Here is a 27,942-nt window from a genome sequence, read left to right on the forward strand (position 1 = left end):
TTGCGGCAAGAAGCTCACAGACAATTACAAATACTCCTGGAGTATTCTGTGCTTACAAATGCTGTAACAGGCTCTCCTCAGTACACTTAGGTCTTGGCTCAAATTACATCCAGAAAAGCCTTCCCTTGGAGAAAAAAAATAACATATTTTTAAAAGCCCCCATCACTACGTATGCATTAGTATCCACTACTAGTCTTTTTCTCCTTCCTAACATCGTACAATCTGTTTCTCTGCCTCACTCAATGGTAAAGTTTATAAAGGTTATTCCTTTGCCTGTATTGTTCACCGATCCATCCTACTGTATCTAAAACAGTGCCTTGCACAGTGATGATATATAAAAGTTACTTAGTGGCCAGGCGCAGTGGCTCATGCCTGTAATCCCAGCATTTGGGAGGCCGAAGTGGGTGAATCACGAGGTCAGGAGTTTGAGACCAGCCTGGCAAACATGGTGAAAGTCCATCTCTACTACAAATACAAAAAATTAGCTGGGCGTGGTGGCAGGCACCTGTAATCCCAGCTACTCGGGAGGCTAAGGCAGGAGAATCGCTTGATCCCGGGAGGCAAAGTTTGCAGTGAGCTGAGTTCGTGCCACTGCATTCCATCCTGGGCGACAGAGCAAGGCTCCATCTCAAAAAAAAGGTTACCTAGTAACCCAGGATTTCTGTTGAATTCTGACCTAGCCACAAGGCAAATTTCCATTTATTTTCCTATGAGCAGCACTTACTGTAACTTGGACAGTGTATCCATATGGGATGAAGGTTAAAAAACCAGATAAAGAAGGCCAAGAGACCTACTCCCAGAAAAGTGAGAATGATGAAGATAAATCATGTCTCAAAAAAAAAAAAAAGAAAAGAAAAATCACATCTCAGTTCAGCAGGTCACAGAGAAGCTGGGATCTCTGAAATGGTAACCCTAGCGGGTGATAGGTCTTATGGACAAATAAAAGCGTCATCTCTAAGACGTCCCAAAAGAAACCCACCTCCTCCCATCTGTTACAGTCTCATCCATTCTCAGAGACTAAGATTTTCCTCCTCCTTTGTGTTCTACTTATTCTAAGAGTCCTTTTCCTTTTCTGCTCTGCCCCTTTTATATTTGGCTAAGTCTTTCTAATCACACAAAAGTTGTGAGTGACAATTCTATTCTTTACAACTGTCATTCCCTTCAATGACAAAATACGCTTCTCTTTCCAAATCATTCTCTCTCCAAATCAATACATAATTAGTTTTTGTTTTTCTATGTGTTGGGAAATATTAGATCATGCAAAGCAGCCTCTCCAGCATAACTTTCTGGGATGTTGGAAATAATGACAAAGAGTCCTCATTGTCTGAAAGTTCTGTTCACTCTGCTGTCCAGTTTAGTAGCCTCTACTCACATATACAGCTCTTGAGCAGTGAGGGAACTGAATTTTTAAATTTTGTGTTCAGTTTCTTTAATTCTAAAATTTAAGTAGCTACAAAACTTAGCAGGGAATTTGTAATCTCTTGGAGAGATAAGACACGGGCAAAAACAAACAAACAAAAAGCCCTCCTTTTTGTACTAAGGTGCTTAAGTACCATTAACAGCAGTCCTTCTGCTACTCCTTGAACAATAAATTATCGCGTCCCCTGGACACAGTTACTCCATGTCCATTTCACCTAATGTAGATATTTGCACCGCCTGACTAGATTGCCTGAGTGTAATGATACCACTTAAAATTAACCCCACAAACTCTCCAGGAGACCACAAACTTTTTCTTCTTTGACCTCAGCTCCTGGAACAGGACAAGGTACAAAGGAAATAATTTTAAAATATTTGTTTAATGAAACAAATTGACTAGTTTCACAGATCCCTCTGCATAATACAAAGTTCTGAAAGTTTATGGTCCTGGTTTTCAATTAATCCTCCACACTGGCACTGGTCTAAGGAAACTGAATTGACACATATGTGTCCCACATTCCACCATTACAGTATTAGCCCTTTCCCACCAACTGCCCCTTATGAAGCTTTTCAGTCACTGCAACACTCCCGACACCAATTATCTCATCTGTTTTAAAAATTCACAGTACTTCATTTCCTCCACTTAAAAGTACTTGGGCTTCCTTTACTCATTTAATTGACACAGTCGAGCAATTGCTGTGTATGTGCTTAGGTTAACATCAAATTTGCCTGTGTATCACAGCATACATTTTAATAGGATGAGTTTATCAGGCTATCTCAGCCTTATACATGTTCTCTCAGTGTATGCTTTTCGGCCACATAATGAACTACAAATTTTTGCTCAACCCTTTTCCACATAGATCTGAGTTTTCTTCCTATGGGTTTTCTGTAACATAAAATAAGACATAATTGATCACGGAAGGCACAACCACATTCACTGCATTCACAAGGTTTCTGTCCTGTGCAAATCCTCTGTTATCTCCTGAGGCTGCACATCTGACCACTGGCTGTCCCACAAGGACTACGTTCCTGTTTGCGAGGAGGCCGCTGATGTTTAATGATGTCTGAGGGGCCACAGAAGGCACTTGTGTAGTCGCCCCGTTAGCAGAGTTTTTCTCCTGCATGACATCACTGGTGTGTAATGAGCTGTGCCTCTCTGCAGGAGGATTTTCCACCTTGGCTGCCTCTTGTTTCTCCCTTGTGTGTATTCTCTTATGCTTAACCAGACACGACATATACGCAAACGCTTTCCCACACTCGTTACAGCCATAGGGTCTCTCTCCTGTATGAGTCCTTTGATGGACAATGAGCTTTTGCTTTGTGCTAAAGGCTTTCCCACATTCACTACATTCAAAGGGTTTCTCTCCTGTGTGAATTCTTTGATGTTTAATGAGACCTGATTTCTGAGAACAGGATTTTCCACATTCACTGCACACAAAGGGCGTCTTTCCTGTGTGAAATCTCTGATGTGCTATGAGACACGTCTTCTGAATGAAGCCTTTTCCACATTCATTGCATATATAAGGTTTCTCACCTGTATGAATTCGCTGGTGTACAATGAGATTTCCTTTCTGGATGAAGCCTTTTCCACATTCACTGCATATATAGGGTTTCTCTCCGGTATGTGTTTTCTGATGTATGTTGAGCCGTGATTTCTTGAGAAAGGCTTTGCCACATTCAGGGCATTCATAAGGTTTTTCTCCTGTATGAGTTCGCTGATGTTCAGTAAGCATGAACTTTCTGGAGAAGGCTTTCTCACATAGACTACATCTGTGGGGTTTCTCTCCTGTATGCATTACCTGGTGATCAGTTAGCCAAGACTTCTTGATGAAGGCTTTCCCACATTCACTGCACACATGATGCTTCTCTAATTTTCGTGTTTTCTGATGCTTGGGACTGATGAATTGGGACTTAGTGCTGATGAGTTTTTGACTTGCAGGGAATTTAATTGCAGTATGAAGTCGTTCATGGTTAGCATGAAGAAAGGAGTCCCCATTTCCAGTAAACTCAACAGAGTTCTTTATTTCATAGCCTTTGCTCTGGTTAACTAAAGTTAAATTGGATTTCAAACTTTTTCCACGTAAGTCAAATATATCATGATTTTGCCCTAACAGAAACTGACTTTTGCTGCAATGAACAATATTTTCAAATGCATCATGTTCATGACATGGTTTCCTTCTGTTCACCAGGCTTTCACTCTGCAAGCGCTCCAGCACATGATCAACTTTCCATATGTCTAGAAAGAAAAGAACAAAGATTTCTATCATTTAGATTTGGGGTAAAAGTTTGTTGTGGTTTTTTTGTTTTTTTTGTTTTTTTTTTTAAGATGGAGTTTTACTCCGTTGTCCAGGCTGGAGTGCAATGCTGCGATCTCAGCTCACTGCAACCTCTGCTTCCCGGGTTCAAGGGATTCTCCTGCCTCAGCCTCCCAAGTTGCTGGGATTACAGGTGCCTGCTACCATGCCCGGCTAATTTTTGTAGTTTTACTACAGACGGGGTCTCACCATGTTGGCCAGGCTGGTCTCGAACTCCTGACCTCAGGTGAGCCATTGTGCTCAGCCAAAGTATTTTTTGTTTTGTTTTGTTTTTGGGAGACGGAGTCTCACTCTGTCGCCCAGGCTGGAGTGCAGTGGTACAATCCCGGCTCACAGCCAAAGTATTTTTTGTTGTTTTTTTTTTGTTTTTTGGGGACGGAGTCTCACTCTGTAGCCCAGGCTGGAGTGCAGTGACATGATCCCGGCTCACTGCAACCTCCACCTCCTGAGTTCAAGCGATTCTCCTGCCTCAGCCTCCCGAGTAGCTGGGATTACAGGCATGCACCACCGCACCCAGCTAATTCTGTATATTTAGTAGAGACGGCGTTTCACCATGTTAGCCAGGCTGATCTCGAACTCCCGACCTCAGGTGATCTGCCCGCTTCAGTCTCCCAAAGTTCTGGGATTACAGGTGTGAGCCGCTGCACCCGGCCCCAAAGTATTCTTTTTTTTAATGCCTTGATGTGAGGTGTCTCTTAGTAATAACCCTATGACCTGAGTGTAAATAAAACTCCATGTTTAATGTTCCTTGCACATTGGCAAAAAGTAATAGTATAAACAAACTAAAAGGTGAAAGCAGTTAGCATAAAACAAGGTTAGATCACTAATAATAAAGACAGATTTGGCTGCTTTCTAAATGTGCCTTGCAAAACAGACCTTAAAATACAAGCAATTCACTGTGACCAGCAGACCAGAGGCTGGAGGCCCATTTCGTCCAAAGAACAGATTCATTCATTCCACATACTCTTACTGAATGATCACCGTGTGCCAGGTATGGTGCTGGTGTTGGGGATAGGCACAAGAATCGCTTGAATCCAGGAGGTGGAGGTTGCGGTGAGCCAAGTTCACACCATTGCGCTCCAGCCTGGGCACAGAGCAAGACTCTGTCTTAAAAAAAAAATAAATTAATAAAAATAAATAATAATAATGAATAATTTTTAAGGGAATGAGTCAGGGAAGTAATCATATGTGTGGAACACACCAGGCAGGGTTTAGGAAAGAGGATGGAAATCTCTTTGTGAGCAAGATGGTATTATATCACAGAGATCACTGAAATGAGAAATTTGACAGGTAACATGGTTTACTGGGACTTGGTGTCATCAGAATACGATGGGGAAAAAAACGAAAGCAAATTATTAAATACAGAAAGGAACCAAATGGAAGTAGGCGGGAGTTGAGAATGTAGGATGTTAAAAAAATGACTTTTTTACTTAGAGATGCATCATGACTAGCAGAGACCTTTAAAGAAGAGAGCTCTTCAGGCAGGTAATACCCAGATGGCCAAGATTCAGGATGTACAGGAACAAACGAAAATCCAAACTTAATGGTTTTCTTGGAGGAAAGATGATTCTAGTTCCTTGCAGTTACTAGGAACTCAGGGGAGAGTTGCCATGAAGTAAATTACACAGAACTAAAATCTGTGTTAGATAACAACAGGGAGATGTCAGTTTGGGACTCTCCTCCAGGGAGCGGAAGGAGTTTAAACTTACTAGAATGAAGGCAATTTTGAAGAGTGAAGGGCACAGATGAGAAAATGGAGAACGGGACCTTTGGAGAACCTAAGAATAAGGAAAAAGAGAAGCGAAGGAAGCCAAGGCACAGCGAAAGTCCAGTTTACCCTGAGGAAGCCACATCCATCACAGGGGAGGTGTTAGGAGGGGAGGTCAGCATTAGCCAAGGGGCACAAAGGGGTGGGAGTCCGAAAACAGTGAGGACTTCAAAGTTTCCTCTTTGGAAAGAGGCCTGGAAGGTGGAATTTCGTAACAAGAGAGGTGGAACAACATGAAGAAGGGAAATACTTGAAACCCGAGGAAGAAGAAAATTATGCAGGCAAACAAACAATATGTAGATAAAATAATCAGATCTCTGAGGAGATAAAGAGTTTTTGTTTTGTTTTGTTTTTTTTTAACTCTAAATTCCTACAAAGAAAAACTGGTCTCACACTGGGAGACAGATGAGTAGAGGAACTGTTTACATATCCTCAAACCCCCTTCACAGCTGTGCTGCCTTCTCTGACTGTCTAGAATGTGACTTCCATAGCCTTCTGTCTTGTGGGTTCTCTCACCTGAACAGGCTCCACTGTGGATTCCATCTTCAATTGTCCACAGTTGTTCTCCTTGTTCCAACTTGAAGAGTGCATCCGGTTTGCTGGCTTGATACCCTGTTCATGGAAAATGATAGAGGACTTAGACATATCAAATTGGGCTGGCAATGTCAAGAAGGAAGAATGTTACATTTCAAGAAACTTGAGTTTCTTAAAATACCCAAAATTTAGTTTCTTATCTGAAACTATGAAAGTTTCGTTTCATATCTGTAACATCAAGGTTTTTCTCTTACAAGAGGGTAGATTACACCGTCTTGTGTGGGAGCAAGAGAAGGATCTGAGAATCTACCACTTCAGAGTACTGCAGGCATTCCAAAGAGGTAGGCATCTGAGAAAGGAAGGCCACTGACTAGGCACCCTCTGAGTGACACAGGGCAGCTGTCCTCACCCACTGCCACCAGGTTGCTGTAGTTCTCCAACATCACATCCCGGTACAGGTCCTTCTGAGCAGCGCCCAGGAGTTGCCACTCCTCCCAAGTGAAGTCCACAGCCACATCCTCCAGTGTTATGGATTCCTGTAATAACAGTCCTGTTTAATAAAGTGATGTCTTTTTGATGATGTGGAAGAAATGCTAAAGTTTTTCTGCTCATTTCCACTCTACAGGCTGTGTGCATATACCAAATAGTTTTTTTTTTAATACAATGTGGAAGAAGTAAAGTCCTAATATAATATTCTGTAACTGTATATTCAGTCATCCTCCATTCACCCAATTGGAAGTTTCTATAAAGTGTAGAAGTTAAATCTTGCTAACCTAAAAACAATATATTTATACATTTTATATATGTAAATATATATGAATATATGTACATATATTTATTTTAGATACATGCAAATGAAAGACATATATACAGCCATCCTTTAGTATCTGTAGGGTATTGGTTCCAGGACCTCCTGAGGATACTGAGGTGTCTGATATAAAATGGCACAGTATTGGTCAGGCACAGTAGATCACACCTGTAATCCCAGCACTTTCGGAGGCCAAGGCAGGAGGGTCACTCGAGCCCAGGAGTTCAAGACCAGCCTGGGCAACATGAGACCCCATCTGTACAAAAAATTAAAAAATTAGCTAGGCACAGTGGTGAGTGCCTGTGGTCCCAGCTACTTGGGAGGCTGAGGCAGGAGGCTCATTTGAGCCTAGGAGTTAGAGACTACACTGAGTTATGACCATGCTACTGCACTGCAGCCTAAGCAACAGAGCAAGACTGTCTCTAATAAAATAAAATAAAATGGAATAGTACTTGCAGATTTGCATGTAACCCATGCACATCCTCCCATATACATTTCTGTTTTTTTGAAATGGAGACTCACTCTCTTTCCCAGGCTGGGGTGCAGTGGCATAATCTCAGCTCACTGCAACCTCCGCCTCCCAGGAGCAGGCAATTCTTCTGCCCCAGCCTCCCAAGTAGCTAGGACTACAGGCATGTGACACTACGCCTGGCTAATTTTTTTTTTTTTTTTTTTGAGACGGAGTTTTGCTCCTCTTTCCCAGGCTGGAGTGCAATGGTACAATCTTGGCTCACTGCAACCTCCGCCTCCCAGGTTCAAGCGATTCTCCTGCCTCAGCCTCCCGAGTAGCTAGGATTACAGGTGCCCGCCACCACAACCAGCTAATTTTTTGTATTTTTAGTAGAGATGGGGTTTCACTATGTTGGCCAGGCTGTTCTCAAACTCCTGACCTTAGACGATCCACCCACCTCAGCCTCCCAAAGTGCTGGAGTTACAGGAGTGAGCCACCGTGCCCAGCCCCATATACTTTAAATTATCTTTAGATTACTTATAATATCTAATACAATGTAAATGGTATGTTAACAGTTGTTATACTATATTGTTTAGGGAATCATGACAATAAAAAAGTCTGTATGTGCTCAGTTCAGATGCTTAAAAAATATATATTTTCAATCCTCAGTTGGTTGAATCCATGGATGTGGAAGCCATGGATATGGAGGGCCAACCATATATCACAAATCCAGGCCTCCTATTTTTCTGATGGACTAATTATAAACTGAGGGTTCCTATGACCTCCTTGAGTTTGATAATTTCTCAAGAAGAAGGAGAAAATCAAGTAATGGAGAAACAATATCCAAAGATCTAACACTGAAAATTTTTCAGAACTGATTAAACACTCCAAAATTCAAACTCAAGAAATCCAACAACTTTTCAAGCAAGAAGTCTACACGTAGGCACAACAGATTGAAACTAAATTACACCAGATACAAAGGGAGACTATAAAAAAATCCAAAGACCAATGACAGGTTACCTACAAAGGAGACAAAATTTTCTGACAGCTGACTGCTCCACAGAAATCATTATAGCCAATAAATATTGGAACAATAAATGTAAGGTCCTCAGCTCTTGGACAACACAGCCCAACCTTGAAGACCATTTAGGACTGAAAGGCATGGCTGGCAAAGGACCTACAGCCCTGTAATAGTGACAATTAAGACTACTTATCAATGAATTGTCAATCTCTTGTCTCAGGATGCAGGATGGCTTTAAAGGATACTGCTGGTGGGAAATTGAGTCATTGAAGACCCAGGGAACAGCAGAAGGTACACTCTATACTCATTTTATTACAGAGGCCAGTGAACACACTTGGTAGATGATACAAGTACTTAATCCTGGTTGGTTTACCCATTCTAAATTATTTATGTGAGATAGCTATCTATTTGGAAAAAAGTAAAGTGAAAGTCTTACCTCAATCCACACTCAAAAATAGTTTACTATATGACAGATCTATGGCAGGCAGATTTGATGGCTCAATGAACTCCACCCTCCCAGTGTTCACACCTTTATGTAGTTCCCACTTACAGGGAGCCAAAGGTCCGTGGGACGTGACCAACTCAGCATTCCACTGGAGGCTATATGATCAAACAGCAAACTGTTTATCATGAATGCAGGATGTGAGCAAACTCACCATTGCTCCTGCCGACAGAAGGTTTTCTGGAGGCAATCACTCCCTGGTGCTGAGGTTATCTACTGCAACATTTAGAGAATGTAGTCTTGCAAGCCTCCTCTGGACTGAGCAGCTGACCCCTACTTCCACTGCACCCCCCCAACTATCTCTTTTGCCTAATAAATGCAGAGGGCTGTGTAAAGCTCAGGGCCCTTGTCCACTAGAGGCAAGGTACCCCCTGACCCCTTCCTCCGAATATACTTTTGTCTCTTGTCTTTTATTCCTGTGTTCACCCCACTGTGTTCAGTCCCCCTAGGTCTGTGCGGGTTACAAGTGGCGCCCAAACAGGGACAGAATTGGGTGCTCTACACCCTCTCCTTGAGCAGGGACTGGCCTAGTGACTTACCTCTATTCAGAATATGGCAAAGGCGTTGGAATCTCACCTCCTTAATTAAGCTATACATGTTTAAAAAAATTATTCAATGAGAATTGTTAAAGCACAGTAAGGAAGACTTTATTCAGGGCCATTATGACAGGTATATAGACAAATGTAATGGGATTTTGCAGTGGTAGAGGGTGAATGGACTTAACTCCAAATATCAGCATAAGCAAGTGGGAATTTATAGCCAAGGAGCAGAGTATGGGTCAGTAATACAAAATTACCAAGAGGGCCAGGCACAATGGCTTATGCCTGTAATCCCAGCACTTTGGGAGGCAGGAGGATTGCTTGAGCCCAGGAGTTCAAGAGCAGCCTGGGCAACATGACAAGACCCCATCTCAATTAAAAAAAAAAAAAAAAGGAAAAAAGAAAAAAAGCAGAAAAGTAAAAGTAAAAAATAAACTCATAGTCAACCCACCCCCGCCACACACACACACACAAAACCTTTATGATCTTTTATCATTTTTCAGATTAAATACTTGATTCTCTCCTAACCCCCAATGGTGACAAATGCATTTTTTTCAAGTATAGCTATAAACTGATGGAATTTTATATAATTAATGTTCTTCAATCATTTGCAATCATTGGTCTTTGGATGTTCAAAGTGTAGCATCTTCGGCCAATGAAGAGTCCCTTCAAGTTGGCTGCTATGTTCTTTGAAATATGATTCTATCATGTAAAATATATATATGTGTATATCATAATGAATATATATATCTACAGATAGATTCATATATACTCACACTTTTATTAATACATATATAGACATAGATCCACAAACAGATACAGTGACAGGAAGTAAATATTACCAACCATTTACAGAAGTGGATTAGGAAGAAAATATGTGAAAAGAAAACTTTTTCTCTTTTCTTCAATTTTACTAAATATAGACAAGGTCTCACTAGATTGCCCAGGCTAGTCTCAAACTCCTGGGCTCAAGGAATCCTCCTGCCTAAGCCTCCCAAAGTAGGCATAAGCCACTGCACTCAGCCAGAAACTTTTTTTTTTTTTTTTTTTGAGATGGAGTCTCTCTGTCACCCAGGCTGGAGTGCAGTGGCACCATTTCGGCTCACTGCAATTTCCGTCTCCTGGGTTCACGCCATTCTCCTGCCTCAGCCTCCCGAGTAGCTGGGACTACAGGCACCTGCCACCACACCCGACCAATTTTTTGTATTTTTAGTAGAGACAGGGTTTCACGGTGTGAGCCAGGATGGTCTCGATCTCCAGACCTCGTGATCCACCCACCTCGGTCTCCCAAAGTGCTGGATTACAGCCATGAGCCACCGCGCCCAGCCGAAATTTATTTTTTGATATGTGTACTTTCTTACTTTACTGGGACACAATCACAGATGACCTATGTGGCTGATCTTAGGTCCACACCCTCCCAGAAGTCAGGTTTTAACTTTAGCCTCTAGTTCTGGAAGTTTCTGGCCTATCATAGATCACAGATCTATCATAGTTCGTATTTTTAGGCTGTCCAGTGGCCAAAGGACCCAAGCAAACAAAGACACTACCATTAGCAAGATATTCCAGAAGCCCAGAGCTCACCCTCCATTAGCTTGAACACAAAGGCCAAAACTCCCTTTGTTCAATTATTTACTATACAATAAGGACTTGGCATTTTCTACAAGGTGAAAGTCTAAAGGAAATCTGTAAACTCCAATCCAAGTCCTGTTCAGACAATATCACTTTCAACTCCCTGTCTCCAAATCTATATTCAAACACCAGTTCAGCTATCTGTTCATTGAGAACCATTTGAAAGTCCTGGAATCCTGCCATATTCCCAGGATGTCTAGGTTTTATTCCAAGTTAAATCCAGACTGCCACAAGGCTGAAATTAACTTGTGTTGGTCCCTGTGTTTACTGTTTGCTTAGTCTATTCCGTAACAGTATATAAGGAGTCCTTCAAGAAACAGCCACAGGAAACCTGCATCTGAATTTATGAGAAGGCTGCTATTCTGGACACCATCCACCACATCAACTCTAGGAAGAACCACTGAAGAAATTTCCTGAGACCAAAGTGCCATGAAATAATGGCAACCCCCAGGAAGTAATCTGTTTTATCTTCAAAAACAGGACATACCATGTAAATTATGATTTTCTTGTGACATTGGCTGTCAGAGATATTAGATGCAAGCTGACAGCTAATATAATCCACAGGATCCTCCAGCCATGCATGGTGTCACAAAATTCATAATTTAGTGTTAATGCTATGAACATTATATTCCTTATCCTACTATTTTGCATGATATTGAGTTTAAAAACTAAGCTTACTTCTCTCCAGATCCTGCTTTTTGAAATTTATACTTTTTATATTAGTGAAATTGATGTTTATAGGCTTCTACAAATCTATTATGGAACAAAGGAAAGAATAAAACAAACCAAAAGTCAGTTACCTGGGCCTGGATCATTTTCTTCTGTTCTTGGAAGACAGCATTCAACTGGGATGGTCTGTCTTTGTATCTTCTGGCCTTCTCTTCAGAAGTCTCAGTTTTCAATCAAGTGTGCCCCAAGAAATGGTGAACCCCAAATCCACTTCCTCCCTCTTCAGGTTATGTTTTTTGCTCCTGAGGAGTCAGAACCTGTGGGTTGAAGAGCAAATTCAATGTAAGTGGTACATTTTTTCCAGGCCCAGATACTGTCACTGCTGCTAGGCACTCATCTTAAAGCAATGCCCCCAATATAGTTAACTATATACCTTTGTTTGGAGCCCCAGCGGATTTTATACCTGTGGCCAATAATGTCTAGGATTCTTAATGTGGTGGAGGTATGCCTTTCCTCTGTGACGTTTCCGTGGAAGGACTGTGAAGGCAGGTAGGAAATGAGACCCACCATAGCACCAGCCTCAGGAGATGGTGAACTCTTAGGCAGATTAGTTTTAGAAAAGAGACAATCAGCAAGGAGAGGACCTGGTCTTTGTTTTCCTTTAAATCATGTGTGCTCCCACACCTCTTCAAAAGTCTTTGTACATACACCCTGTGAAGACATGTACTTCAGTTTGAAAGCCAATGTACTGGGCAAATCATAAGCATTGTCATAAAAACAGTACTGACAATATTTTAGGAGGTTTTAAATACATAAAAAGCTAAAATACACAATAATTTACTGGATAATTAGGTGGTGAATAAAGTTGACGTGCTCTAAGGTTTCTGTAGAATGGAAAAGTGCCAATTAGCAGAAGAATATGACAAAGGTTGCACACTACATGTAATCTCTAGTTACAATTAACACTAGTAAGTCCAGGCACAGTGGCTCACGCCTGTAATCCCAGCACTTTGGGATGCCGAGGCGGGTGGATCACCTGACATCAGGAGTCCGAGACCGGCCTAGCCAACATGGTGAAACCCCATCTCTATAAAAATACAGTTATTCCAGAAGCTGAGGCAGAAGAATTGCTTGAATCCGGGAGATGGAGGTTGCAGTGAGACAAGCCTGTGCCATTGTACTCCAGTCTGGTCAAAAAGAGCGAAACCTCGTCTTAAAAAAAAAAAAAAAAAAAAAAACTAGTAATTGTTTTAAAGTACGTAAGTTCCATGCCAACAAAAGGGGGAAATGTAATAACAAGAAATTCATCCAAAAGAAGAGAATCAAAAACAGAGCAAAAAGAGCAAATACAATGCATTTAGATAGCTGTTTTAAAATAAAATGTACTAAGAAAATTACATTACATTAAGTATTTTATGCTAAGTAAAAACAGAGCATGGATCCCAGTTAATTACATTAAATATAAATGCCTCAAAACTGTCAGAATGGATTAAAAATTAAAATCCAATAACATCTGGGGTTTATTTTATTTTATTTTAATTTTTGAGATGGAGTCTCACTCTGTCGCCCAGGCTGGAGTGCAATGGTGTGATCTCGGCCTCCCGGGTTCAAGCAATTCTCTGCCTTAGCCTCCCGAGTAGCTGAGTTTACAGGCACCTGCTGCAGGGAGCCGAAGGCTCGTGGCCCGTGGGACGTGACCAACTCAGCATTCCACTGGAGGCTACAGATCAAACAGCAAACTGTTTATCATGAATGCAGGATGTCAGCAAACTCATGACTGCTCCGGCTGATGAAGGTTTGCTGGAGGCAATCACTCCCTGGCGCCGTTATCTACTGCGACATCTAGAGAATGCAGTCTTGCAAGACTACTCTGGACCCCTGGCGCCGTTATCTACTGCGACATCTAGAGAATGCAGTCTTGCAAGACTACTCTGGACCCCTGGCGCCGTTATCTACTGCGACATCTAGAGAATGCAGTCTTGCAAGACTACTCTGGACCGAGCAGCTGACCCCTTCTTCCACCTCCCCTTCTCACTGTCTCTTTTGCCTAATAAATATGAAGGGCTGTGTAAAGCTCAGGGCCCTTGTCCCCTAGAGGCAAAGCGCCCCCGATCCCTTCTTCCAAATACACTCTTTTGTCTCATCTTTATTCCCGTGTTCACCCCACTTTGTTTAGTCCACCTAGGTCCGTGCAGGTTACAAATGGCAACCAGAACAGGGACTCCAAGCACGCCCAACTAGCAGCATCCAAACATGGGACTTCAAGGACGTGAATGAAGAAGGTCTGCTGGAGCAGAGGAACTGAAATTGACAAGGCGAAAGGGGACCCTGGGAAGAGTCTGCCGGCAGCAGATATAAGGTCAGTGCCCTAAAGAGGTACTGGGAGCAGTGCTTTAAAGAAGTACTGGGAAGTTTTCTGACTCAGGGTAACAAGGGAAAGAATTTGTCTATTGAAGAAAAACATTATGTGCAGTTGCTTAAAGTTCTGTTGAGACAGTCTGCAGCTCAGGTTAATTCGCAGACACTAACCTCCTGCAGAAGCCACAAAAGGTTATTACACATAACCCATCGTTTCCACAGGCAGGCACTCTTGATGTGGAAAATTGGGATACAGCAGGAGAAGGATTAAAACAGGCTCATCAAAAAGGTCTTAAAGTCGATTCTTCTGTTTTCTCCACTTGGAGTTTAGTTCGTACTGTACTTCTGCCATTATCTCATTATTATTCTGCAGGACAGCAAGCTGAATCTAAAAATCTGAAAGAATTTGTTGACCCACCCACAGCTCCAATTAAAAATAAAAAACAGGAGAGGGAGGATAAAAATTGGCCTATACTGCCTCCTTCAGTTGCAGAAACATCTGTACTGCCTCCTTCGGTGGCAGAAATAGAAACCCTAATACAAAGAATTTAATGCTCTGCTGCCATAGCTGGAGAGCCCTTAGGACATTGTGCTTTTCCTATTTCCATCAGGCCTGATCCAAAAAATCCACAGCAGGTTATTCATGAACACACCCCACTAGAGTTTAAGTTGTTGAAGGAATTAAAAGCAAGAGTGGTAAATGATGGCATACAGAGCCCATTCACCTTAGGATTGCTAGAATCTGTGTTTGGTGCTATGCGTTTTTTACCCTTTGATGTGAGACACTTGGCGCGAACTTGCTTGTCTGCTAGTGCATATCTGACATGGAATTTAAATTGGCAAGAAATGTGTGCAGACCAGGCTAAACAGAACCATGCTGCTGGACACGGAGACATTACAGAGGATATGCTGTTAGGTCATGGCCCTTATTCAGATGTAGAACGTCAAATGGCACTCCCAGATGCTGCTTATCAGCAGTGTACACAGGCCGCTAAATGCGCCTGGGCCACAATCCTGAAGAGGGAGTCCCTGTACAATCCTTTTTACATATCATGCAAGGGTTGCAGGAACCCTATGCACAATTTCTTGCAAGATTACATGAGGCACTGAAGCGTCAGATTCCTCATACTGTGGCTGCAGAAATGCTAACCTTAACTTTAGCTTTTGAGAATGCAAACGTGTACTGTAAACGTGCACTGGCACCAGTGAGGTGTACAAAAAACTTGGGAAATTTTCTCAGAGCTTGTCAGGATGTAGGAACTGAGATTCATCGATCTGCAAAGTTAGCATAAGCAATGGCTAATTTAGCAGTTGACAAATCTAAAAGGAGCCAAGGGTCAAACCCTAAAGTGGGAAAATGTTGTAATTGTGGAAAAACTGGACATCTAAAAAAGGAATGCCGCCAGATCTCAGGACAGAAAGGATATTACAATGCAGTTCACTCCCTAGCAGAAAAAACAGCAGGACTCTGTACTCGCCATAACAAAGGAAATCACTGGGCTACCCAGTGCTGCTCAAAATTTCATCAGAATGGCACCCCATTGGTAAATGAGATGGGGGCCTGCACCCGGGCCCCTCAAACAATGAGGGCATTCCCAATGCAGACCACAACCCCACTTCAGGGATGGGTTCCTGGAGGCACATTGATTCCCTCAACCCAGGAACACCAGGAAGTGCAGGATTAGATCTACCCACCAGAGAAAGAATCACATTAGTTAGGGGAGACAAACCTATTTGGGTATTTGGGGACCTTTACCGACAGGATACACAGGACTAATTTTAGGTAAAAGCTGCCTTAACTTGCAAGGCATCACTGTAGTCCTAGGAATGACTGACTCCGATTATGAAGGAGAAATTCAAGTAGTTTTAATGTCACAAAATCTTTGGGTTTTTGAACTGGGAGAATATATTGCTCAATTATTGCTTATTCCCTGTGAATTACACCCTTCCCCATGAAAAGAGAAATGAGGAAATAAAGGGTTTGGGAGCACAACTACATGGGAAATCTATCTTTCCCAACCCATAGCCTCTAATAGACCTACCTGTGTAGTACACATTAAAGGAAAGAAATTTTATGGGCTTATGGACATGGGAGCTGATGTGTCAGTCATATCTATAGGATGGGCACATCAAACATTACAACGCATGTTGAAAAAACAAAAAGGGGGTATAGGAGGCCAACTACCACCTCAATCAAAACTACATTTAGCCTTATTTACTTTAAATTTTCTGACTCCCGGTATGGATGGTAAGACTCCAGCAGAAAGACATTGGCAAGTGTTAGAGGAAAAAAGCAAAGTTTATCTGAAAGTGTTATGGAAATCCCCAGAAGGACAACAATGGAAAGGCCCGGTAGATTTACTGACCTGGGGAAGAGGGTATGCTTGTGTGTTTACAGGAGATGGGACAAGCCATGTGGGTGCCCTCAAGGTGCATGCGACCATGGAATGGGAGACTGGAGGAACCCAGGGTGGCCAACCATGGGCCCAGTCCCTCCTGTACGAGCTATGAGTCAGCTGAGCCTGAGTGCAAAGATGGAGAGAAGGCCAACCAGAGTCATGATGACATCAACCCCCATAACCTGGGGACAACTCAAGAAAACCACACAGGAAGCTGAGAAACTACTGGAGTGTCAGGGACAGGCAAAACCCCTGATTCCATGCTCTTGGCCATGTTAGCCATAATGTCCTGTGCACTACGTTTTCCCTGTGCACAGGCAAAAACATATTGGGCATATGTTCCCAATCCCCCAGCAGTATGGCCTATACTTTGGAGCTCACTCCTCCTGAGATTTATCACGATCAGGGAGAGTGGGCTCCAGGACCCCTAACTCCCCGTGACATAGAAAAGTTAGACTCTCAGAACAATGTCATTAATTATACCACTCCACTGGAAGGACTCCCTTTGTTTATCACCACAAAGACGTCGCTCAGCCATAGCTGTCTTGCAATTCAAGCTCAAACATGGTTGAGTCACTATGGAAAAATTATGTACTTATTAGGTCTTGGTTCTATTAATGTAACTGGTGTGCTAACCAATCATTCCCAGTCCAGTCACCCTAATTGTGCTGATTATACAGAATGGATTCCATTCAATAGTTCCTACCCCACTCTGTGGACCCAGTGTCTTGATCCACTGGCTAGTAAACAATATATGTCAACTGAAGACACTGTGGATTGGGAACCTAAAGGTCAATTAGATGGAAAAGGTGAAAGTCAGAAATCATGGCACAAACTTCACTGGCATTGGCGGCAAGCTTTTAATGCTTCTTCTTTATACAACAGCAGAATCCAATCCCAGTCTGCTGCTCAGATTGCTTGGCATGGAGCAGGCTTTAGCCCACCTCTTCCTCAGTTGCATTATCTGGGGAGGAAAGGACCAATTCAAGAAACTATATGGAAGGCAGCACTCCCATTTATGAATGGCAACATCTGGATTGGAACACTGTCTAATAATAGCAATAGTAAGCAACACAGTCTTAATGTTGCATTTGTAAAGAATATCACCACTCAGTTTACAGTTTGTGTTTTTAATCCTTATGCCTTTTTGGCAGCTAAGAAGAACCAGCTTCAGGTAAACAATACCCAATTGACCTGTAAATCTTGCCAGTTATATCACACTGCATTAATCATAGCACATTACGAACACATAATATCTCTACTTTGATAATGTTGGGTTGCATCCCTGGGCTATGGATTCTTGTTAATCTGTCTGAGCCTTGGGCTGCCACACCTGCTTTGCATTTTTGTAACACTTCTTCTAACTCAGCTTACTCACTGTGTCCATAGAGCCTTAGGCATAATTTTTGCTATTGTTTCCTTGGTCAAACTAATAACTTCTGTTGTGATATCTTCTGTAACTCTGCATAATTCTATTCAAACATCTCAGTAGGTGGAGAACTGGACACGCACAGCTGACCAAGCGAGGCTACTTCAGAATAAAATTAACACTGAGTTACAAACTGAAGTGGCAATGTTGAAATCCATGGTTCTGTGGTTAGGAGAACAGGTACAAAGCTTGCAGTTGCAGCAGCAATTGCGTCATCATTTTAATCACATTCATATTTGCGTAACTAACTCAGAATATAACCAAAGTGAGTATCCGTGGGACCTTGTGAAAGCCCATTTGCAAGGAGCTTTCACATCCAACATCACCTTTGATATTGGTGAATTACAAAACAAAATTATTGATTTAAATAGGCAAACTCAAGAATTTCAGCCTTCTTTAGAAGACTGGACCGAATTCCAGGAAGGCCTGGAGAGCCTCAACCCTTGGACCTATCTAAGGCACCACATTAACATCTTATATGTAGTTCTTGGAATAATGTTGTTTTGTCTCTGTCTTCGGTTTATAGTCTGTAAAATCGGATGGACCACCAATTGGAGAATGAGAGCCTCCCAGCCCAGCCTTACATTCTTTCAATTAATACATAAACAGAAAGGGGGATATGCAGGGAGCCAAAGGCCTGTGGGACGTGACCAACTCAGCATTCTGCTGGAGGCTATATGATCAAACAGCAAACTGTTTATCATGAATACAGGATGTGAGCAAACTCAGGACTGCTCCTGCCAACATAAGGTTTGCTGGAGGCAATCACTCCCTGGCACCGAGGTTATCTACTGCGACATCTAGAGAATGCAGTCTTGCAAGCCTACTCTGAACTGAGCAGCCGACCCCTTCTTCCACCCCCCCACCCTCCTATCTCTTTTGCCTAATAAATACGGAGGGCTGTGTAAAGCTCAGGGCCCTTGTCCACTAGAGGTAAGGTGCTCCCTGACCCCTTCTCCCAAATATACTCTTTTGTCTCCTGTCTTTATTCCCACGTTCACCCCCATTTGTGCAGTCCCATGGGTCCATGTGGGTTACGGCCCGCCACCGCGCCTGGCTGATTTTTGTATTTTTAGTAGAGATCGGATTTCAGCATCTTGGTCAGGCTGGCCTTCAACTCCGGATCTCATCACACACCCGCCTCAGCCTCCCCACATGCGGTTATTATAGTTGATATGTCTGAACCAAAATGATATGGGAAGCTTGAGAATAAAAGGTTGGAGACAATATGCCACAGAGAGAGTAACCAAAGATAATCTGTTATAACTATATCTCAGACAAAACTGACCAGAAATCCTAAAGAATTAACAGAGAGAAAGAGAAACAATGCTCACTGAAAAGAGGTGAAATTTGGCTCTTCATTCATAGAAATACACCATATGTATACCCCTAACAACAGTCTTGAAATGTATACAGCAAAAAATAGAACCAAAAACAAGAAATAGAAAATTCAGACTAAAGACTTTAACAGACCTTTCCTAGTAACTGACAGAACAGACCATCAACAAACAAAATAAAATTTATAAATGAGAAAGAAATGAATCTTTTATCTGAGGAATGTGACTCCCTTTAAATTATCAGGTCTAGAGAGGCATTAAAATGTGACAGCAGTCTTTCTGATAGGGGTTCCCCTGAAAAAAAGAAAAAAGAAAAAATTAAAAACTAAAAAAAAAATTTAATGTGACAATAGTCACATCTCATTTCCCCCTCAAGCTAAATAATTATCTCTTAAAGCCACTTGCTATGTAGGCTCTAGACTAACTCACACTGAGTAGCCATAAAATGCCATTCACTGGACATCCTAACTCATAAAACCCCATAGTTAACAATGTACAGCCAATTGTTAATTGATATTATTTCTGTAAACCAATGAGAATTCTTGCCAAACAACTTTATGTCAGCTCACGGTTTGTTCCCTTTTGACTTTAAAACCTGTTTCTAACAAAATCCTAACAGAGCACTTAACCAAGGCAACCTGAAAGTATTTTCCCAGGCAGCTGTCCTCATTTTGGCTCAAGTAAACTCTTTAAAATTGTATTTTGTGCAGTTTCCTCTTTTAGGCTGACATAAACGATATCATTTAGAAGAACTCGAATATATTTTTAAAATTAGATTTACTGAGATAAATTTTAACAGTTTTAAATAAATGCAAAGATGTACTATAAAGATGGGCTGGAAAACAAAGCATTTTAAAAATGTCAAGTCTCCCAAATCTACAGATTCAATGAAATCACAGTCACAATCCCAAACTGATACTGAAAAGTTTAAATAGCTATAAACTTTTTTTTAAAGTTTGAAAAAAAAGTTAGAAGACTTGCCATATCAGTTATGAGGACTTATAAAGCTACTTTAATTAGGACAGCACAATATTAGTACAATAACAGGCAAATAGGACAAAGGAACAGAATAAAATCCTTATAAGCAGAATTAAGCACATATAGAGACTCAATGGCAATGATAGCACTACAGGGAAGTAGATAAAAGCTGTCTTTTCAATAAATGGAACTAAGGGCGCCGTGGCTCACGCCTGTAATCCTAGCACTTTGGGAAGCTGAGGAAGGTGTGGGGGAAAGAGAGATCAGACTGTTACTGTGTCTATATAGAAAGAGGAAGACATAAGAAACTCCATTTTAATCTGTACAAAGAAAAGTTCCTCTGTCTTGAGATACTGTTAATCTGTAACCCTAGCCCCAACCCTGTGCTCAGAAACGTGTGCTGTGTTGGCTCAAGGTTTAATGGATTTAGGGCTGTGCAGGACGTGCTTTGTTAAAATGTGTTTGCAGGCAGTATGCTTGGTAAAAGTCATCACCATTCTCCAGTCTCAAGTACCCAGGGACACAATGCACTGCGGAAGGCCGCAGGGACCTCTGCCCAAGAAAGCCTGGGTATTGTCCAAGGTTTCCTCCCACTGATACAGCCTGAGATATGGTCTCGTGGGAAGGGAAAAACCTGACCATCTCCCAGCCCAACACTCGTAAAGGGTCTGTGCTGAGGAGGATTAGTGAAAGAGGAAGACCTCTTTACAGTTAAAATAAGAGAAAGCCATCTGTCTCCTGCTCCTCCCTGGGAATGGAATGTCCCGGTATAAAACCCAATCATACATTCTATTTACTAAGATAGGAGAAAACCACCTTATAACTAAAGGTGAGACATACTGGCGGCAATACTACTCTTTACTACACTAAGATGTCTGTGTAAAGTCAAACATAAATCTGGCCTACGTACACATCAAGGCACAGGACCTTTCCTTAAACTTATTTATAACACAGAGTCCTTTACTCACATGTTTTCCTACTGACCCTCTCCCCACCATTACCCTATAGTCCTGCCACACCCCCCTCACCAAGATGGTAAAAATAGTAATCAATAAATACTAACAAAACTCAGAGACCAGTGCCGGTGTGGGTCCCCCATATGCTGAACACCAGTCCCCTGGGCCCACTTTTCTTCCTCTGTACTTTCTCTCTGTGTCTGATTTCTTTTCTCAGTCTCTCATTTCCACCTTGCAAAAAATACCCACAGGTGTGGAGGGGCAGGCCCCCTTCAGGCAGGTGGACCACTTGAGCCAGAGTTGGAGACCAGCCTGGCCATCATGGTGAAACCCCATCTCTACTAAAAATACAAAAATTAGCCAGGCAAGGTGGCACCTGCTGGTAATTCCAGCTACTCGGGAGGCCGTGGCACAAGAATCACTTGAGCCCAGAAGGCAGAGGTTGCAGTTGAGCCAAGCACGCCACTACACTCCAGCCTGGGCGACGAGAGCAAGACTCTATCTAAAAAAATTAAAAAAAAAAAAAAAAATCAATAAATGGTACTGGGGATGGGGACAGAAAGTTAAAACCCCCCTCACAACATACACAAAAACCATTTTAGAATCAACTGTCAATTTCAATGGTAGAAACATATCAATAAAGCTTTAAAGAACATTAATATAGGAGAATCTCTCAATGTTATTAGGGTATGGCCAGATATTTTAAAGAGGCCACATAAAGCACCCTATAAAGCAAACTATATCCTGCTAGGGGAACTGTAAGTGGTACAACCACTTTAGAAAACAGTTTGACATCTATTTAGACGGAGTTTATACACACTCTATGAAGCAGCAATTTTCCTCCGAGGTGCACATCTAGATATACATCTCTGCCTCCCCCATATGAGAGCACATATGAACCAAAAGACATTTACACAAATTTTCACACATGCATTATTCTTAATAATACAAGCTTTAGGTAATACAAATGTAATTAATAATAGAAAAAACTGCTATATTTTACATAATGGAATGTGATAGAAAACCTATTATACCTTTGGTCCAGCCTGCAAGAATGCTTTTTACATTTTTGAAAGACTGTAAAACAAAAAGCAAATTAGCATATGCAAGAGACCATATGTAGCCTGCAAGCCCTAAAATATTTACTGTAAATTCGCCTGATCCTTGTCATTGAGCAAAGAAAATATACTCAGATGCAACAGGAAAGACCCTCACCAATAATGAGCAAAAGAAGGCTGACACAAAAAAAGAGTGATGTACAATTCCACTGATATACAGAGTTTAAAATAGGCAAAACTGTATTAACTACAATGATAAATAATGATTAATTATATAAAGAAAAGCCTAAAATACTTTTCGGTGTGAGAATGGAAAAAGACTCACAGAACACCACTGGTGTGCTGACCATATTCTATTTCTTGACCTGGGCAATGACTGCTTATACATATATTGCCTCCATGATAATTAAATTGTACATTTAAAATATATAAATGTAGAAAAATTAACAAAGTAAAGGAAGAGATCAACCATACCAAACAGTTTACCTCCAGGAAAGGTGTTAACTCCAGACAACACAACGGGTGAATTTTACAGGTGGGTAATAAAACAAGAACGTCCACTAACACCCTATTTTCCTACTTTATACTGGAAAGTTGAGCCAATGCATTAAGATAAGAATGAATTATAAGCATTACAAAGTAAGACAGAAAATTAATGTTATTTTCAGGCGATATCATCACGAACATGGAAAAAGAGATTCAAGAAATTACATATTTAAAAAAGAAAATGCTCCCTCAGAAACTCCCAGGCAGATTTTCACATACATAGTTGGCTAGAATTGCACCATACGCCTAAGCTCATTTCCATGTCAAACCTATCACTAGCAATGGCAATTGGAACCAGCAAGATTGGCTAAGACCAACAAGGCCTTACTAAGAAACTGGGATTTGGGTCGCCTTGCCACAGGGATGAATACTTCACGAAATGGAGATTCTGTTAAGAAAGTGTGAATATAAGGCGGGCAAGCAACACTCACTATATATTAAGAAGTGAAGGCCGGGCGCGGTGGCTCACGCCTGTAATCCCAGCACTTTGGAAAGCCAAGGTGGGCGGATCACCTGAGGTCAGGAGTTCGAGACCAACCTGCCCAACGTGGTAAAACCCTGTCTCTACTAAAAATACAAAAACTAGCCGGGCGTGGTGGCGTGGGCCTGTAGTCCCAGCTACTCAGGAGGCTGAGGCAGGAGAATCGCTTGAACCCGGGAGGCGGAGATTGCAGTGAGCCGAGATCGCGCCATTGCACTCCAGTCTGGGAGACAAAAGTGAAACTCCGTCTCAAAAAATAAAAAAAATAAATAAAAAATAAAAGAAGTGAATGCAGAGGTTGGCAACATTTTCGATTTTGCCGGCCACGAGGTCTCTGTCACAACAACTCAACCGCTGCCTTTGCAGCCATAGACAATATATAATCGGAGGGTATGACTGAACTTGACCCCCCGATCTGTAAATAGCCACCCCAAGGATCAGAAGAGTAGATATATGGTTTCGAACTAATGCTGGGGGCTGTGTCGCCTTTTGCCCCAGTAACCGAGGTTCGAACCTCAACCCAGGACCCAGGGCTCCAAAGTCTCGAAAGCTTCAGCCCTCACAAGCCTTTGTACCACAGACACTGGCCCCATGCCTCTTACTCATCCGAACCACGGACCAGACACTCTACAGCGATGGACATCCTCCCAGACTCCAACATCACTGAGTTCCAAATTAAATCCTGAACCCGAAGCAGACGCCGCATCGATCCTAATCGCCACCTCCATCCTTTACAAGCAGAGTGATCCATACCTTGACAGTTAGGACACGGCCGTTGATCACTACAGACCCTTAGTCACTGTACTCACACCAAAGGCACGCGGACCACAGACAGGGGGATCACAGACTCCCACCAGGTACCTCCCAAATGCCTATACCCCGGCGCTCCCCAGTCTTCCTGCCAAAAACTATGTGGTCCAGGGTACACCACGTCCTCAGATCTCCCAAACCTTCCACTGAGACAAAACCTGAACTAGGACAAAAAACTTTCAGGGACAAAACCACACACTGACCTCTATTTTCTCCAGATACACAAGAAGGGCCTCAACGTTACACTTCCGTAAACTGCTCCTACTTCTGGAGTCCTCGCACGGGTTTATGGTCCACCTACGGCGGCCGAGGAGAACCTAAAATGTTTAAAAGAGCAAGGACAAGCGCATTTACGGCATTTCCTACTCTGTAAAATGGCCGCGCCCATAGCCGTGGCTCCTGACGGCAGCCATGTTTGAAAATTGGACGCACAGAAGGCAGTGGCAGGTTTTTGAGCCAGGAGCCAGGGAAGAAGAGAAGTCACTGAAATCGCCTCGTTTCCTGGCACTTAAAGTCTTGCGAAAGGGGGCAGATTTTCAGAGACTCAGGCTTTATCAGGCAAATATGGGGCAAGCTAAATTGCCTTTAGCGCTTTTCCATCCACTTTGTTAAATTTAAAAAAAAAGGTTTTGAAAAAGACAAGTAACAGTGCAGCCAGGTGTAGGTATCCCAGAGAATGAATTGGAAATGGAAAAGGTAACAGATCAGGTAGAAAGGGAAAAGGCAACACATCAGGTAGGCAGACACCCACGGGAAAGCGTCTGGCGAAAATTAGCTTGCAGGAAGCGGTTTTTAAGAACAGAAAAATAGCAGGTATTCGGGGGGGCGGGTGGTGAAGAAAGAAAAAAATTATAATTTTTTTTGAGACGGAGTCTTGCTCTGTCGCCAGGCTGGAGTGCAGTGGCGAGATCTGGGCTCACTGCAACCTCTGCCTCCCTGGTTCAAGCGATTCTCCTGCCTTAGCCTCCCAAGTAGCTGGGACTACAGGCACGCGCCACCACGCCCAGCTAATTTTTGTATTTTTAGTAGAGACTGGCTTTCACCATGTTGGCCAAGATGATCTCGACCTCCTGACCTCGTGATCTGCCTGTCTCGGCCTCCCAAAGTGCTGGGATTACAGGTGTGAGCCACCGCGCCTGGCCTCGAAAAAATGATTATTATTTACAAAAAAGAAGAAGAAGAAGGAGGAAGAGGAGGAGGAGAAGGAAGAGAAAAGAGGAGAAAAGAAGAGAAAAGAGGAGAGGAGAGGAGAGAAAAGAGATTTTGAGAATGAATTACGATGTGAGCCTGGCCACGACAGACTAAAGGAATTGGGCCTCCTAGAAAGGCCACTTTTAGTAAAGGTGCCAATGGGAAGAGCAGAGCCAGAATTGAGAGTATAAAAATATTGTTAAGAGTTTTTGACAAAAGTGCCAAGACAATTCAATAAGAATAGTCTTTTCAACAAGCGGCACTGGGATAATTGGATATCCACATCCAGAAAAATGAGTTAGGACCCTCAAACCATACACAAAAGTTAACTCAAAATAGATCATAGATCTAAGTTTAAGAGAAAGTATAAAACTTAGAGAAGGAAAAGGGAGATAATCCTCATGGACGTGAGTTAATTCTGAGAGGAGAGTAAAGGATGACCCACAAAACAAAATAAAATTAATAAAGTGGACTTGATTTTTTTTTAAGTTTGTGCTTCTAAACACAACATTTAAGAAAGTGAAGTGGGGCACGGTGGCTCACACCTGTAATCCCAGCACTTTGGGAGGCCGAGGCAGGCGGATCATCTGAGGTCAGGAGTTCCAGACCAGCCTGGCCAACAAAGCGAAACCAGTCTCTACTAAAAATACAAAAATTACCCGGACGCGGTGGCGCGCGCCTGTAATCCCAGCTACTCGGGAGCCTGAGGCAGGAGAATCGCTTGAATCCGGGAGGCGGAGGTTGCAGTAAGCCGAGATCGCGCCACTGCACCCCAGCCTGGGCGACAGAGCAAGACTCCTCGGTAAAGACACCACTTCGTCACCCTGAATTACTCTGATTTTTATGGGTACAATGAGAATAGTGGACCTAGGAAGAAAAAGTTTTTAAATAGAAACCTTCAGGACAGATTTGGACTTGAAAGACTGACAGGAAGTGTTTCCAGCATCCAGTTAGTCTCAAAGCAACCACTAACCTTCAACTGCACACCTGAAAGCCTCCAGCCTCATTACATTCTCAAACACAGACAAGCCCCGTCTTCCTCTAAATAAAATTGCCTTCAAATTCAATTTAAAACTTACCACAGAGGCACTCCTTTGACACTCCTCCCCCTAGACCTTTCATTCACGCCACTCCTCTTCCTAGCTCGGGCTTCTCTGTATCTGAGCCCCATATTAAATTGCAAATCTGAGCAAAAAACAGCATTCACTGAGACACACTTTCCCCAGTTTTCTATTACTGAGACTCATGAAAAGTGAACATATAGACCTCAAGCTCTGTCCGTGGGACCCTCAGTCATTAAACTCTTAAAACTAAGCCTTAACCTTTGACATCCCAAGGGTCTCTTTCTCACACCCATATTCCTCGGTGACTAAACTGAAATAAAACCCCTGAACACGGACATTCACATGCGTTTCCACTTCATGGTCGTCCCCACAAGCTCCCCATCCGGATTCACACGCAGCATCAGGCTTTCAAGGCTACAGTAGCAGCTGCCAAAGGCTGAACACGTATCAGAACCTACTTCCGATTCTGGAATTCTGGTGCTGCAACCCCATCCTTCGCCATCTCTAAGAACACCGAGAGACTGGGAGGCGGGCTTCCGGAGAGGGATATGGGACATTTCCCAAAGTCCAGGTTCTGGCTTTGAACATTTTATATGAGGTAACATAGCTGTTTTACCTCATAGAGCATATTATGTCATTTCTGATGGGAGTGACCGTAGATTATTAGTGGAGTGATAGACACGCACATCAACAGAATAGAGTCAAGAAATGGACACAAGAACAGGCAACTGATTTTTACAAATGTTCAAAATCAATTTAATGGAAAGAGGACAGTGTTTTCAATACTGTTGAATCAACTGGGCAACCATAGGCTGAACTTTAAATTAACCCTTACCCTATATACAAAGATGAATTTAAATGGATATTGCTAAATATTAAAAAGCAAAACTGGCTGGGCGTGGTGTCTCACGCCTGCAATCCCAGCACTTTGGGAGGCTGAGGTGGCCAGATCACGAGGTCAGGAGATCAAGACCATCTTGGCCAACATGGTGAAACCCCGTCTCTACTAAAAATACAAAAATTAGCTGAGCATGCCGGTGCGTGCCTGTAATCCTAGCTACTTGGGAGGCTGAGGCAGGAGAATCACCTAAACCCAGGAGGCGGAGGTTGCAGTGAGCCAAGATCATGCCATTGAACTCCAGCCTGGGTGAGAGAGTGAGACTCTGTCTCAAAAAAAAAAAAAAAAAAAAAAAAAAAAAGAAGCAAAACTACATTATTTTGTCAAAGGAAGTGGAAAAAGAATTATCAATTACAGTAAGGAAGGAATACTTAGATGTAATGCCAAAACCCCACAATCCATTAAAAAAAAAAAGGCTGGGTGCAATGGCTCACACCTGTAATCCCAGCACTTTGGGAGGCCATGGTGGACAGATCACCTGAGGTCAGGAGTTTGAGCCCAGTTTGGCCAACACGGTGAAACCCCAATCTCTACAAAAGTACAAAAATTAGTGGGACATGATGGCAGGTGCCTGTAATCCCAGCTACTCGGGAGGCTGAGGCAGAAGAATCACTTGAACCTGGGAGGCAGAGGTTGCAGTGAGCCGAGATCATGCCATTGCACTCCAGCCTGGGCAAGACAGCAAGATTCCATCTCAAAAAAAAAAGTTGGACTTCATCATAATTAAAATCTTTTTCTCTGAGAGAAAAAAAGAAAGAACCACATCTATGGAAAAATATTTGCAA

General features: G+C 42.4%; 1 protein-coding gene and 1 long non-coding RNA gene across 14 annotated transcripts in view, besides 2 other annotated features; one reads left to right on the forward strand and one right to left on the reverse strand.

Annotated features, from left to right (window-relative positions):
* The window catches only part of ZNF350-AS1 (ZNF350 antisense RNA 1), a 32,234-nt gene extending 13,429 nt beyond the window's left edge, over positions 1-18,805 (forward strand). The window contains exons 2-3 of the long non-coding RNA NR_103847.1: positions 13,829-14,011; positions 18,365-18,805. This is a non-coding gene — a long non-coding RNA (ZNF350 antisense RNA 1). The remainder of the gene's footprint in view (positions 1-13,828; positions 14,012-18,364) is intronic.
* On the reverse strand, positions 1,778-24,278 carry ZNF350 (zinc finger protein 350). Of its 13 annotated transcripts, none has more exons than XM_047439183.1 (8): positions 24,208-24,278; positions 22,144-22,186; positions 12,116-12,363; positions 11,784-11,969; positions 6,443-6,569; positions 6,016-6,111; positions 4,713-4,838; positions 1,778-3,652 (listed from the first exon to the last, which is right to left on the reverse strand). In XM_047439183.1, the coding sequence occupies exons 4-8, from the start codon at positions 11,796-11,798 to the stop codon at positions 2,292-2,294; spliced, it is 1,725 nt and encodes a 574-aa protein (XP_047295139.1). In that variant the 5' UTR covers positions 11,799-11,969; positions 12,116-12,363; positions 22,144-22,186; positions 24,208-24,278; the 3' UTR covers positions 1,778-2,291. The 13 variants fall into 13 exon arrangements, with proteins under 13 accessions (XP_047295139.1, XP_047295141.1, XP_047295140.1 ...); XM_047439185.1 differs by lacking the exon at positions 4,713-4,838 and adding an exon at positions 19,312-19,469; XM_047439184.1 differs by lacking the exon at positions 4,713-4,838 and adding an exon at positions 19,173-19,469.
* Positions 23,743-24,618: an enhancer, noted in NCBI's record as "H3K27ac-H3K4me1 hESC enhancer chr19:52489558-52490433 (GRCh37/hg19 assembly coordinates)". NCBI's record gives its function as "activates a minimal SCP1, AML or CMV promoter by ChIP-STARR-seq in naive H9 embryonic stem cells {active_cell/tissue: H9 hESC(naive)}" and the evidence as "EXISTENCE:reporter gene assay evidence [ECO:0000049][PMID:30033119]".
* Positions 24,205-24,444: an enhancer, noted in NCBI's record as "active region_15031". NCBI's record gives its function as "activates an Ori minimal core promoter by ATAC-STARR-seq in GM12878 lymphoblastoid cells {active_cell/tissue: GM12878}" and the evidence as "EXISTENCE:reporter gene assay evidence [ECO:0000049][PMID:35858748]".

Source organism: Homo sapiens, chromosome 19 (assembly GCF_000001405.40).
Source record: "Homo sapiens chromosome 19, GRCh38.p14 Primary Assembly".
In the NCBI taxonomy this organism is placed as follows: Eukaryota; Metazoa; Chordata; class Mammalia; order Primates; family Hominidae; genus Homo; species Homo sapiens.

Bases quoted from the DNA above. Each gene is read 5' to 3' on its own strand.
- ZNF350 (XM_017027094.2), bottom strand. The intron at 6,112-6,442 runs GTGAGGACAGCT...TTCCATGAACAG, and splicing joins CAGCAACCTGGTGGCAGTGG to GGTATCAAGCCAGCAAACCG. The intron at 3,653-4,712 runs GTGATCATTCAG...TTTTCTTTCTAG, and splicing joins AGCACCATACCTGGCACACG to ACATATGGAAAGTTGATCAT.